This window comes from Homo sapiens, chromosome 4 (assembly GCF_000001405.40).
Source record: "Homo sapiens chromosome 4, GRCh38.p14 Primary Assembly".
In the NCBI taxonomy this organism is placed as follows: domain Eukaryota; kingdom Metazoa; phylum Chordata; class Mammalia; order Primates; family Hominidae; genus Homo; species Homo sapiens.
The window spans coordinates 7,603,367-7,617,944 of NC_000004.12; the positions used below are offsets into that span (position 1 = coordinate 7,603,367).

The window sequence follows — 14,578 nt, forward strand, 5'->3', positions numbered from 1 at the left end:
AATCCTCTGTTCTGATTTGTGGACCGATTTTCTCCGTCTGTTTTCTGTGCTGTGATTCTTGGTTATGTCTTCAGCTGTACCATATCACTCAAGAATTCTCCCTGGCTTCCTTTGTTTTCAACCTCAATTATGATGTCCTTAATTTTTAGAAACAATATTTGGCTCATTTTCAGAGCTGTTTATTTTAAAGTCTTTGGTTCCTATTCATATTTTATTCTCACCTTTATTTCTTTAAACATGTGAACATCATTATCTGATAAGTCCAATATTTAAAGTCTTTGGGGGCCTAATTAATTCCTCTCTCTATTGTTTCTGTGGTTCTTGCTTACAGAGCCTCATTTCCTGGTATATTTTGTCATTTTTCATAGTGAGGTCATCATGCTCTTTGAAACCTGATCTGCGGGGATTCTCTGAGGCCTGGGTCACACCTGTGCTCCTCTGGGGGAATCCTGGGAGCATTGCTAACATGGGGTCTGGTAAAGGGAATTCCTAGCCTGGCGTTTTTAGATCTCACATGCAGCTGTAAGAAGGCTGCCTCGAGTTTACACATCTTTGGGAGATATTTTTAGTTTTAATAAATAAAAACTTACTAAGTTTTAGTAAAATTCATATGTGTGACTATGTTGCGTGTGACTCTGTTGTGTGTTTGTTGTGTGTTGTGTGTGACTTGTACGGTGTGTGTGACTGCTGTGTGTGTGTCGTGTGAGGCTCTGGTGTGTGTGTGTGTACTTTTCTCCTCCTACCACAAACAAGGCAGAGATGGGCAGGTCTCTGGCCACAGGGTGGCTTTAGGGACTGATATGGTTTGGCTCTGTGTCCCCACCCAAATCTCATCTCAACCTGGAATCCCCACGTGTTGAGGGAGGGAAGTGAGTGGATCATAGGGGTGGTTTCCCCCATGCTGTTCTCGTGGTAGTGAGAGAGTTTCACAAGATCACTATGGTGATGTTTGTTTGTTGGTTTGTTTTTGAGACGGAGTCTCGCTCTGTCGCCCAGGCTGGAGTGCAGTGGCGCGATCTCGGCTCACTGCAAGCTCCGCCTCCCGGGTTTATGCCATTCTCCTGCCTCAGCCTCCTGAGTAGCTGGCACTACAGGTGCCCGCCACCACGCACGGCTCATTTTTTGTATTTTTAGTAGAGACGGGGTTTCACTGTGTTAGCCAGGATGGTCTCCATCCCCGCCTCGGCCTCCCAAAGTGCTGGGATTACAGGCATGAGCCGCCGCGCCCGGCCTATGGTGATGGTTTTAAAAGCGATAGTTGTTCCTATGCCCACATTCATTCTCTCTTCTGTCGCCTTGTGAAGAAGGTGCCTGCTTCCCCTTCTGCCATGACTGTAAGTTTCCCGAGGCCTGCCCAGCCATGCAGAACTGTGAGTCAATTAAAACTTTTTCCTTTATAAATTACCTGGTCTCGGGTATTTCTTTATAGCAGTGTGAGAACAGACTAATACAAGGCCAGTTCATCCTTACAACAAAGATGTCACCCCCTGGGGTCCCAGCTTCAGGCAGAGGGATTCTTCTAAGCTGGCTCCTCTCCTTGGATTTGTCTCCTGACCCCTACACCCCATGCAGATGTCAAAAGAGAGTTTCAAGATATCCCGCTGAGTTAGGATTCATTTCAGCCACGAATAATGTAAAATCTCAAACCAGAGTGACTTAATCAGGATAGAAGCGTATTTCTCTCTCAGGATCCAGAAATCTGGAGGAGGTCAGCATGGGACTGGTTTGATGTTCCTTCGTGTGAGGGATCCATGTTTCTTCTTTATACCTCACTCTGCCTGGCTTCCACTTCCAACAAGGTCCAGAGTAGCTGCAGCTGTGCCAGCCATTGTCTGCATATCCCAGTCGTTGGAAAGGAGGAAAAGGGGTGAAGAAAGGCATGGTGGTGGTTTTGAGGACACTTCTCAGGTGTTTCACACAGAACTCCTGCTTGCATTCTTTGGTCATATTGAGTGTATGTTCACCCTGAGTTTCGGGGGAGGTTAGACGGTGCAGTCTCTATTCCACATGGCTGTATTGGGAGTTCTGTTCTTCGAGGAAAGGATAGGTGTTGGGGGGCACCTGCCACCTGCTACTCCAGGGGTGCAGGGAGAGGACACTGGCCCAGGGCTAGCTCAGCTCTCTGGATTTCTGCCTCCACTTGGGGTTTTGGTCTCCAAAGAATCCTGTTTTCTTGCAAGCTTAACAGTGCACCTTGAAATATCTGAAGGTGTGTTTAATCCAGCTTTATTGCTGTTTCCCTATTGCTCCCTTCCCATGGGAAGGATCTGCATGGTATTTAGGCTGCCATATTGCCAGAAAGAGGCCGTCTCCCTGGTGGATGTTTTGGGATCCCTTGCTGTTTCACATCTGCCTCTGCTCTCTGTTCCATTTCATTCCCCCACACATTCATCACATACCTGTGGCTTGGTGCTGGTCCTGGGAGGGGGTCTTGGGGGTGAGGAGCAGGGGGAACAGCTGGATTACAGAGACCCACCCCAGCAGAGGCTGCAGCCAGTGGGTGGTGAGCAGAGAACACCCTCCAAAGCCCACAGACAGTCCCCCAGGTGGTGGTCTCTGTGGAGGTGACCCCCAGGACCTGCACCAGTGAAGTTACAGATGCTGAAAGGATGCACATGCAGCCACACGGGGGAACAGAAGAGCCACCGGAGCGTGGGGACACCACGTCAGGGAGAGGTGCTCTGGCCGGTTGCATGAGTGGAGACGGGGACTCCTTGAATTCCGAGCATTGAACATTTCTGCTCCCATGAACCACCCCTTCTTGATAATAACTTACTCTTTAAGACTGAGTTTCAGTGCCTTAGATGGAAAGATCTTACCTGACAACTCTTTGAAGGTGAGCTACAGGAGAGTTATTGCAGTGAGGAGCTCCTGTAAATAACAATTTGCTCTTTACAACCTGCCGGAGAATAGAGCTAGGGTTGTTTTTAGCGATGGAGAATATCCACTCAAACCCATTTGACTGTGGATTGCATTCTTAAATACTTATTCAACGATCGTCTCTGTGGCCGTCAGACTCCAGCGACTTTGATTCCACTGTTGAAACAGTTACACAGTATCCTGGCTTCTCGTTCCGACTCCTTGTCCTTCGTTTCTGCTGCAAACGGTCACCTCCCAGACCTGTAAGCTTCACCTGTTCCTCTCAGAAGTTTCCAGAGCTCCTCTGTCAGATGTCGGGCTGCTAAGAACATGTAGCTCCTGAACCTCCTCAGGAACAGGGAGGTGCGTCCTGTGCCTTGAGGGCCGCCTCTGTGGGTACTGGCTGGACTTGCCCTGTTTGGGTCTGCATTATCCTGTGCTCTTGGGCATATGTTCACCCTGAGCTTCAGGGAAGGCTAGACGGTGTGGTCTCCATTCTGTGTGACTGTATTGGGAGTTATATTCTTCAAGCAGAGGAGGGTGGGTGACGATGCCATCAGGAAGCAAGGGCAGAGCCCCTGTGGATGACCCCAGGGGTAGCACATGCGGGCAGGCAATTTTTATAATAATGCACCCATAATTACTTTTGCACCAACCTAATAGTGTCACAGGGCCCTGAGCTGTTGAGGATCCTTTGACTTCATTCCTAGATAAACAGAGTGGGGACAACAGCTGTTTCTGAATTTGTTACCTGATAAGTCCTACACTTTATATGAAGCTTTTTCTCTGAAGCGATTTCACTACCAGCCTTCAGCTCAGAGGCAGAAAGCCCCCGTCAATTTTTCTGCCATCTCTTTGCCGACATAAAACCCTGATGATGGATATCAACTTTTAGTATTTCATTGACTTCATGGTCTGGCCACAAGAGTTACGCTTATGAAGCTGCAGGTTCCCACCTTCAAAATTGATCTCTCTGTCTTTCTTGTGTTATCATTTGTCTCTCCTTGGCCTTTTAATCATGAAAATAAAAATATGTGTTCAGCATTTCAATACTTGGATCTGAGACAGATGCTCCACGCAGACGCTTTTGGAGACTTGCTGTGTCCTGAAGCCACGTGGATCCTCCTGGGGAGGTGGAGAGGGTGCGTCGGGGAATTTTTGTTCTGCAGCCTGCCCCGCCACCTTCCAGATTCAACGCCTACCACTCTTCCTCCGTGAAGCCCTCCATAAGCCCCCTTTGACCTCCCGCCCCACCTGCCTGTCATTGAGCGCTTCTTGGGCACCTGGTGTTACAGCGATGGCCCATCTCATCCTTACAACAGCCCTGAGTGTCAATAATTAATAACAATTTTGTCCACCTCACAGACAAGATTGGGGCTCATGGAAGGAAGCAGCCTTTTCCCCAAGGCAACTGCATCCAGTCATGGGTAGTCCTGAGAATCCTGCCAAGTCTTTCTGGCTCTCTTCCCTGGGCCACCCAGGAGTTCAGAGCAGATGGAATCTCAGAGCAGCATAGTTCCCATGCTTGTTGATGAGGGGGTCAGTGTTCAAGAGGAAAGTCACATTCCCAGGATCACATGGCCAATGAGTAGCAGAGATAGGTGCTCCTCAGCCCCCAGCCCCAGGGCTGTCTCTACCGCATCAGCCTGGACCCCAGAGCGTCTTGGTGGCATCCTTGAAGTCACAGTCCCCGGCTGGCCGTGAGTGAGTTGCGGTTCCCCTGTGCTTTGGTTTGGGCTCTCGCAGAAGCAGAACCTGAAATGAGGATTTGCAGACAAATACCGTGTTTAGGACATGCCATGCCCTGCCAGGGCATGGCACCAAGAAGAGAAGGAGGCCTCCACAGTGCCCAATAGTCAGCACTTAGTCCCTCTGGGCACCCCTGGGAGCTAGTGTATGGCACACGCAGTTGTCCCACCAGAGCAGGAGTGTGGGTATTTACACACCAGCCTCCCTCGTCACTTCCTGCCTGCCATGCTCCCTGGCAGAGCTGCCACCTAGCAGATGGCAGTGGGGCTGGCAGGAAATGGAAATGATAAGGTTCAATTGCCACTCCTCAGAGAAGGCTGCCGGATTGCACACCCCAGGATCTCCGGACCACGTCACTCAGTTTCATCATCGTCAGGGCCCTTTGACCACCTGAAGCTACCTTGCTCATTACCGTGCCCTGGCTTATTGACACAGAACTCAAGCTCCACATACCAGGGGCCATCTCTGTCACTTACTTGCTGAGCCCCTTGTTTCCCAGGACAACACCTGGCATGTAGCTGTCACTGAAAAATATCAGTTCAGCAGAAGCCCAGATCCTTTCTGACAAACATGAGGGAAGTGGGCATCCCACACAGGCTCCCAGGAAGAGGTGTTCAAGATGCTTGCCAGCCAGGGACAGGGCACTCAGTGACAGGGACAGAGGCAGCCAGCACCTGGAGGTGCCCACTGGCAGCCCCAGTCCCCAGGACCTGATGCCAGGCTTCTGTGCCATCTGTGGGCTGCCCTCCGGTCATGCCCACAGGCTTCCCGCTCCAGGGACATCACATCAACTTGGCTTGCACACCTTCTGTTGTCTGTGGCTCAGCATTTGCCGAGCATCTGATCTGTACCAGATTCTGCTTGGGGCCGGGCAGGATTTGTCACAGTCCTGCCCTCAGGGAGCTCCCATTCAAAGGGAGCCGCTCATATGTGAACACACCAGGGCCAGCATCAGGCACTAGCCGAGCACTAGTCATCCTTTCCAAAGTCACTTCCCAAATCCCTCTGTGCCCAGGCCTGCAGTGGACAATAGGGGTGAACATGAGGTTCTGAGCGGTCCTGGGGAGTCTCAGGCAGTCCCACTAAAAGCACTAACACTCAGGCTGCATGAGGGGCTGGTGAAGGGTTAAGGGCACAGGCGTGGGGTCAGACTCTACTCACTGGCTGTGTGGGCTTGGGCTCTGATGCTTAACCTCTCTGAACTTGGTTTTGTTGTTGTTGTTGTTTTTCATTTGTTTGTTTTTCCTTTTCAAGGTGAGTAACAATCCTTGCCTTGCAGAACTTTGAAAGGAATACATTGGTTAAAATCTTTCAGTGCCTTACATACAGTAAATTCTAAACCAGCCAAAGTTTCTGTTAGCACCGTTTCTCTTCCTCATAGCTCCGTGCTTACCTGGAGGCACTGCCCTGTGGATCAATGTGGCAGTCAAGGCGCCTCTATACAGCCCACCCGGCCAGACCTGTTCTCAGCCATCCTCAGCCCTCGTCAACTGCCAATTCAGACCCTCCTCTGTGACCTCCCCCGTCCAGCCCCTGTGGTTTCTCCTTGGTCAGTCCTCTCTCTGCCATGTGAGAAAGGTTTTCCTCCTCCTCCAGACTGTGAGCCTTGCAGAAGGCAGGGAACACGTCCTGCTCTGTGTCCTTGGCCTAGGGCCTGGCACATAAATGACCAGAATGGAAGGGTCCCAGGGCCAGTGTGACGGGGAAGGTGGACGTGAGCTCCAGAGAGCGGCTCAGGAACTGTTCAAGCCACCCACCCCCACCGCCCCCATGACCCGGGACCTCCGGATGGGCCTTGGGATGACAAGGGTCTCCGCTGCGCACTCTCATGGTGACTTGTCTCTTGTGTATCAGTGGTCAGCCCCTCTGCTCAGTGTGTGGAGTCTGCCTAACCCCAAACTCCAATGCCATCTGCCCTGCACTTTGCATTTTATTTTTAGCGAATGCAGCCGGGCACCCTATTTTCCTTCATTCCTTGGCAGTTGTGCTCGGGGCGGATAGCGCCAGTGAATGTCTGACCGTAATCATCCACAGGCCAGTTTTCAATCATGAGGTTGATGATTAGCTCACTAACACCCTCTCCCCAGACCGTCACCTTGGGGCCCCCAGACTAATTACTGCAGGACGCGCTGAGTAAAGTTCACAATGCCAGGGAATTGGGGGGAAATCTTATCAGCTCTGAAACTACTGAACAGCAAATGTGTTCCGAAGATGCAATTAGCCGCGGTTGGAATGGGAGATTGTTGGAGAGGGACTTTGTGGGAGTCACGCCCACCCCTCCCTGCCACATGTGTCCTCTCCACACGTGAGATGCTGGTGTCAAGTTGCCAGTTAAATGAGGACACTCATGAGGGACGAGGATGTGGGCTGAGCTCCAGAGGACTGGTGTTTCCTTATCTCCATGGGACCCTGTCCTCCACCAGGGCCCCCAGCCCACCCCTGTCTGTGCATACCTCCACTGTCACTCCAGGGGAGCTCTGCACGAGGCCCCCCGGGTTCATTGCATGGCACATTGGCAGAGTCAACACCGGGCCGGGGACGCAGACGAGCAGACCTGCCCTTGTCTCAAGAAACAGCCGGGCCATAGCTGAGGTCTTTCCACCTGGGGTGGGGCTTGGGGGGGTCCTTAAGTACCTTAAAAATGCAGGCAGAGTGGTGTGGAGGGGGCACATTCTGTGCTCGGTTTTTCTAGGCAGCAAATCTGTTGATTCCATCAGATTCTTAAATGGTTTAGAACCAAAAGGGTCAGGAGCAATTGATCTAACAAAGGGGCCAACAAGTAAGTAGAGGATAGTCCAGTGCAGTCAGCACTACGATTGGTAAAGTCCCGGGAGCCAAGGTGGGTGGAAGAGCAGCCCCGATCCTGTGGACGGGGATGGGGAAGGGGAAGGCAAGGAGGATTTCCAAGCAGGGGCTCCCCGTGATGGGCAGGTCTTGGTGCCAGGGACTTTCAGATTCAGTCATTTAGTTACTGGCCATTCATCAACATCTCCAGGCATCAGCCCACTCCCGCACGCGTGCAGACACACAGACACTGAGAACGGAGGGTGGCACTGCCCATCTGGCACCACAGAACTAAGCAGGATGGCCTGCAGCCACCATGCAGCCCAGCACCCACACGTCTACATGGGCGCCCACTGCAGCTACTGAGGCTGTGAAAAGCAAAAGCCCACATGGAGCCAGTGACAGCTCTTTCTGAAAGACTTTAGCTGGTAAAGGCAGAAACCATGACCTCAGCACCTTGCAGGTGGAGCTGGGGCTTCCTGGCCTTCTTCTGGGTGTTGGATGAAGCTGCAGCTTGGAAGTTAGCAAAATCCAAGGAGTGTAGACCATGAAGCCAGAGAGACCAGGCTCAAGTCCTGGCTGAGATGAGTGGGGTTGGGTGCAGTTGGACAGTCATGGGACCTACCTGCACATAGATTCCTTCCGCCCTCTCAGCCCCAAGGGAAACCGGCCGACCAGCACCCTGAGACTGCCCAGCACGGTGCCCAGCCCAGGAGCTGTTGGGAGCAGGTCTCTGGTTTGTCATCCATTGTTCATGTCTTCATGTGGATCTGAAACATCACCCAAGGTGTCAGCCTTCAGGGCCCCCTGAAGGTGAGCCCCAAGAAGTGGGGACCCTCATGGCTTTGTCCACTGCCCAATATGTCAGGATTTGTTTCCACGTAGCCGCAGGTAAAACTGGTTGTTAGGTTTTTAAATGCTTGGGGAAAAATTCAATAGTTGCAAAAATGAGAAGAATAGGAATCCTCCATGGCACATGAAAATGACATGGAATTCAGTTTCAGTGCCCGTGAATGCCTCTTGCTGGCACCCAGCCTCATACACTTGCTTACACATTGTCAGGGGCTGCACTGGTGCTGTTAGGACAGAGGCCATAGGCCTGCAAAGCTGGTCCTCTCCAGACAGGCTTGCCGAGCCCTGGCTCAGGCTCTGTGGATCCATGCCGAGAGGCCAGGGAGGCCAGTGAGGTGCTGAGGAAGGATCGGCCCCATGCCCAGCTCTGGGCTCTGCCGTGGGTTCCGGTTTCATCTGATGTGATGGGGAATGTGGTGTGGGACAGAAGAGGACAGCGGAAGGTGACACATGTAGCTTTGCAGGGGCTGTGGGAGGAGTCATGGGGCCTGGGTGGAGGTGCTGGAGGCTGACGGGCCGAGTTTCCGGAGCTCAGAAGGCTGGGGAGGTAAAACTGAGCATCATCAGCCAGGATGCGGGAGTTTCATCCTGAAAACAATGAGATCACTCAGACAGGACACAACAGGAATCCAAAATGGCTTTTGGGAGGTCACAGGGGTGAAAGGACGGTGGCTTGGGTCTGGGGGGAAGGAGAAGGGCATGGAGACAGGGTGGGACAACTCTCCCAGTAGAGCTAGGACACACGCCTCCGCCACATCCCAGGCACCCTGCCGTGCCCTCCGGCTGCCTGCTCCCTCGGTCCTTCTGGCCACGATGGGGGTCGGGGGTCTGGGTTCATCTCCATCTCCTTAAGGACAGGCCTCTGCCTGAGTCACCGGTAACACTACATGGGGTGTGGCCGGGCTTGGGCTGGGGGAACCAGTCCCCAGCCCACCAGGGGCCTCTACTTGAACCCACTAAGACCCCAGCCTGCCCTGCTCCCCTGGGCCCCACGCAGTGACTCGGCTGGGTGTGCTCGGCTCCTGCAGGAGCTCTTGCCACCTGCCTCAGCCTTCTTTCTGGGGCCTGGTCTGCTGGAAGGGATCAATGTCAATAACAACTGTTCATGTTGCCACAGAGAATTCCAATCCATGCACACTCTATTATGCTGTATAATCCCACCCCACAGGAGCTTCGCGGACGTGGGAGAGAATGAACGTTAGGCCTGGTACAAAGCCTGGCCCACAGCAGGCACCTGAAAAGTGACTGCTTAGCTTTGGAGGGGACAGGTAGTGGGAGGAGATGGGAGGGGAACAAGAAGAAGGGCTGGGGGAGGAGACGCCATTCTTCGAGCCGGGCAAGGGCCAAGGCCAACAGCAGGGACTGGCTCTCGGGCCAGTGCTCTCCCCAACTGACTGCAAGCCCCTCTCTCTCCACCTCTTTCTGCGGGGAGGAGCCACAGGCTCTGCCTACCAGGAACTTGAGGTCCCAGGCCTGTAGGCCTGCAGAGCTCACAGACATCTCTCCTCTGAAGGAGGTGTCAGCCTTCCAGGCAGAGGGAGCATTTGGTGAAGGGCTGAACAAGCATCGGGGCATCCCAGCCTAGGTCTGCTGCCCAAAATAGGTCTTCCTGGTTCCCACTGAGAAATTAAATACATTTGTTGATACTCTACGTCTGCAGAAAAAAATGCAAGGAGGCCCAATAAACTAACGAATGAGACAGATGAGAGTGATTGAGGAAGAGTCGCGGGCGCTGTCTGTTCAGCGGGGCTCTGCGTGGCCAGGTGCCAGGAAGCTGCCAGCACTGCAGGGACCCAGCTGAGAATGTCAAGGGAAGCAGGGTAGGCCTGGGCCGCCCTCCACCCAGAAGCAATAAGTCCCCATTCACTGAGGTGTAATAAGGCATGTCTAGCAACTAAGGAGCACTCTGGGCCCCATGTGAGGATAACTCCAAAGTTAGCCTTGGAGAAAGTGGCCCACTAAAGAACAAAGAAGCACATGCACCTCACATGGCTCACCAAGAATGACCCGTGGAGACACTGCTTGTGGAGATATCTCCCACACTGGACAACCGATTCCACACTCTCTCATCGATTTCCTAGTGTAAGCTGCTACTGAATGCCCAGGTGTGAGGCCCTGGATGGCCAGCCTAAGCCCTACCATCCTTACACTTGCAGTTCATCCATCCACCCATCTACCATGTGTCTACCAATCTATCTTTCCATCCATTTATCCATCCACCTATCCATTCACTCATCCGCCATCTACCCATATACCCATTCACCATCCATTCATTCACCATCCATCTATCCACCTATCCACTCATCAAACATCCGTTCACTCATCCATTCATTCATTCATTATCCACCCATCCACCAGCCATCCATCAATCCATCTATCCATCCACCTATTCATCAATCATACACCCATTCACCATCATTCACCCATAATCCATTTATCCATCCACCTATCCACCAACCACGATCCATTCATCCACCCACCCATCACCATCCATTCATCCATCCTCTTACCCACTGTCCATCCATCCCATCCATCCCTCTACCCATCCACCCATCCACCATCCACCCATCAATCCATTCATCCATCCACCTATTCATCCACCTATTCACCATCCATTCCCCCATAATCCACCTATCCGTCCACCCATCCACTCATCCATCCACCCATCCACTCACCCATCCATCTATTCATCCACTCTTCCACCATCCACTTATCCATCCTCTCATCTACTGTTCATCCATCCATCCACCATGAATCCATCCACCCATCCACCTTTCCACCATCCACCCATCAATCCATTCATCCATCCACCTATTTACCATCCATTCACCCATAATCCATCCATTCACCCATAATCCATAACCCATCCACGCATCCACCATCCATTCATCCACCCACCCATCTATTCATCCACTCTTCCACCATGCATTTATCCATCCTCTCATCCACTGTCCATCCATCCATCCATCATGAATCCATCCACCCATCCACCTATCCACCTATCCACCATCCACCCATCAATCCATTTATCCATCCACCTATCCACCCATCCACCACCCACCCATCAATCCATCTATCCATCCACCTATCCACCCATCCACCACCCACCCATCAATCCATCTATCCATCCACCTATTCATCCAACCATACACCCATTCACCATCATTCACCCATAATCCATTCATCCATCCACCTATCCACCAACCACCATCCATTCATCCATCCATCCATCTCTTATCCACTGTCCATCCATCCCTCTACTCATCCACCCATCTGCCATCCACCCATCAATCCATTCATCCATCCACCTATTAATCCACCTACCCACCCCATTCACCATCCATTCACCCATAATCCAGGGACTAGCTCTCGAGCCAGTGCTCCACCCATCTGTTCATCTGCTTATCCATTCATCCATCCATTTATTCATCCATCCACCTATTCACCCATCCACCATCTCTCTGTCTACCCATCCATCCATCCATTCATCTACTCATCCATTGTCCTCCATCTGTTCATCCATCTGCCATCCATTCACTCATTCATTCATTCATTCATTCATCCATCTGCCTTCCTTCACTCCATATTGATTTGTCAGAGATTTACCTGGCACTGCTGTAGTTTCTGGAGATATAACAGTGAGCAAGAGAGACAAGACCCTCCTATCTGGAACTTAAGCTTGAAGTCAGGGCATTGGACAAGTTGTGTACTGCACAGGGGCAATTAGCTGAGGACAAATGGGGCTATGGAGTGAGGTGCCTTGGCCTGGAGAAAGGAAAATCTTTTTCCTGGTATAAGGGGGTTAACCATTCTCCAGGCATGTGCCAGGGAGGGAGAGGTGCCTTTTAAAATGTGGGTAAAGTCTTTGACCAGGAGAGCAGCAGCACTGTTGCACCCTGGGGTGATCTAAGAGGGACATGGTTACATACCTGCCCTCTCCCCAGTCCCACCACCTCCACCTCCACTCTTGCCACATCAGGTGTTCCTGTGCCTGCCCGTGCTTTTCCATCACCTGAAATAACTTCCTCCCACGGTAGATTTCCCCAACTGTTCTTCATCCTTCCAGTGATACTTCCAGGAAACTACAGATCCCTGGGGACTAGGTGGCTCCTCTGTGCTCCCGCAGACCTGAGCTTCCCTCTTCACGGTGCTCATCACTTAACAGTAGACAGCAAGGAGCCTCTGCTGGCCTCACAGCTGACCAGGGGTGACCAACAGCCTCCAAACCCACTTCAGTGGCTCCATTCTCTCATAGGGCTGCCAGCTTAAACAAAGAACTTTTTAAAGGATGCACAGTTAAATTTGAATTTTATATATCAACCAGTTAGTTTAGTATATCACAAATATTGCATACTTATACTAAAATTATGTGATGTTTGGGGCATACTTATTACTAAAAAAAGTTACTTCTTTATTGGAAATTCAAATATAACTGGGTGTCCTATATTTTCTGGCATCCCTAGCTTCAGCTGGACTCTAGCCTATAGGAACAGGTTTTCAATAAGGGATGGAGCCTGGCAGGTGGCCCTAAAGCCAGTATAGCTGGAATCATCTCCCTGAGCCCTACATCTCATACCTAGCCAAATAATTACCTTCATCTGGAGGCTTCTTTGATCCTCCCACTCCTGGCTGAAAAAGGTGCCTCCTCTGAGTGCCGCTAGCCAACCCACTCACATATACATACACACACATCCATCCATCCATCCATCTGTCATCTGTCCATTCACCCATCCACCATCCACCTATTCATCCACCTATCTACCCATTCACCATCCACTCATCCATAATCCATCTATCCATCCATCCATCCACTTATCCTCCATCCATCCATCCACCCATCTACCATTCATTCATCCATCCTCTAGCCCCTGAGCTACCCTTCATCCAAGTGGGGTGGTCATGTGTCTTTGTCAGACACCCACCACCCTCAAGGTGATCTCCTCCCGCAAGGACCCAGACAGACAGACCCTAAGGAGCCCCGATCTCTGTGGGTTGGTTGGGTCACACCAAGCCCAAAAGTGAGTGCAATAAAGTGGCCTCAGCCCTGAATGGATGTTTTTTCTGCCTAATTATAAAAATACATTGCAATAGAAATCACAAAACAGAACAACTTGGCTATTACAGGGACATGCTTTATACTCATAACTTAAAGAGCTTGTTTTAAAAACTGACTATAAAACCATTTAATTACTTGGTTTTAAAACCAGCCATGTGGAAATTATGTTCCCTCGATGGACGTTTGGAGGTGATTTCTGGCAGAGAACTCTGCGATGGTGCAGACTGCTCCAGGCTCCCTGGGGCTGCCTGACATTTGCACAGCCCCACAAGGCCCCTGAGCCCTCTCTTGGCCCTTTTGAGCTTTGCAGGGCTCCAGCAGGTGGACAATTGGTCACTCTTCTCTCCACACCAAAGGTGAGGAGCCCAGGGTTCAGCAACATGGACCTCGTGGTGCCTGGTCCAGCAGCTAGTCCAAATTGTGGCCAGGCCAGAATTCTGAATATTTTGACTACAAACCCTGTAGTATTCTATCCGTCCACCCGCCATCCACCATCCATCTATCCAAGTGCCATTGATCTATATATTTATCTATCCATTGGTTATCTCATCTATCCATCCACCTACTCACCCATCCATCCATCTATCTATACACACACCCACTCACCCCATTATCCATCCACCCACCTATCCATGTGCCATTGATCTATATGGTATTCGTCTCTCCATTGGTTATCCATCAATATATGCACCTACCCATCCACCCACCCACCCGTGCATGCATACACCCTTTCCTTCCATCCATCCAGAAAGGCTTTATAGAGCTCCTCATATGCCTAGTTTCTGGGCAAGCAGGGGTGTGGGGTGTGCATAGAATCTGCTGTCTGACGTCAAGGAGCTCACAGCCCAATGAGACTCTGAAACTACTATCCTGACGTAGAGTAAGTTCTAAGTGGAGGTGTGTAGAAACTGCCATGGAACCATGGTGGGGGATTGGGCACAAGCGTGGAGCAAGGAGTGCTTCATAGAGGAGGAGACATTTGAGTTGGCCTTTGGAGGGTGTATAGGAGTTGGCCATGTGGAAGAAGGGTCAGATATTCCGAGCAACTTTTAGTTCAAGTTCAAAATCCTGAAGCTCAGAATCTGACTTGCCCCTCATGGGCTGTGTTTCTAGGGACAAGCCTTGGTGATTTTGGAGCTCAGTTTCCTCATCTGAGAAAGGGGGAGAAGGGGGAAGAAGTGTGCTTCCTCTGAGCCGCCTACCGGTGCCGCCCCAGCTCTGCCTCACCTTCCAGCTGGGGCTTTCTTTCTGGGATTCGCAGTCAGGAGTGGGATGCTC

At 51.4% G+C, this 14,578-nt stretch overlaps 1 protein-coding gene across 8 annotated transcripts in view, besides 1 other annotated feature; it reads left to right on the forward strand.

The window, feature by feature from the left end:
• Positions 1-14,578, forward strand: part of SORCS2 (sortilin related VPS10 domain containing receptor 2) — a 550,290-nt gene that overhangs the window by 410,829 nt on the left and 124,883 nt on the right. The gene's annotated exons all lie outside the window — the stretch shown is intronic.
• Positions 13,116-13,305: a silencer, noted in NCBI's record as "fragment chr4:7618209-7618398 (GRCh37/hg19 assembly coordinates)". NCBI's record gives its function as "represses an EF-1alpha promoter that drives an FKBP-Casp9 reporter gene in an ReSE screen in HepG2 liver carcinoma cells {active_cell/tissue: HepG2}" and the evidence as "EXISTENCE:reporter gene assay evidence [ECO:0000049][PMID:32094911]".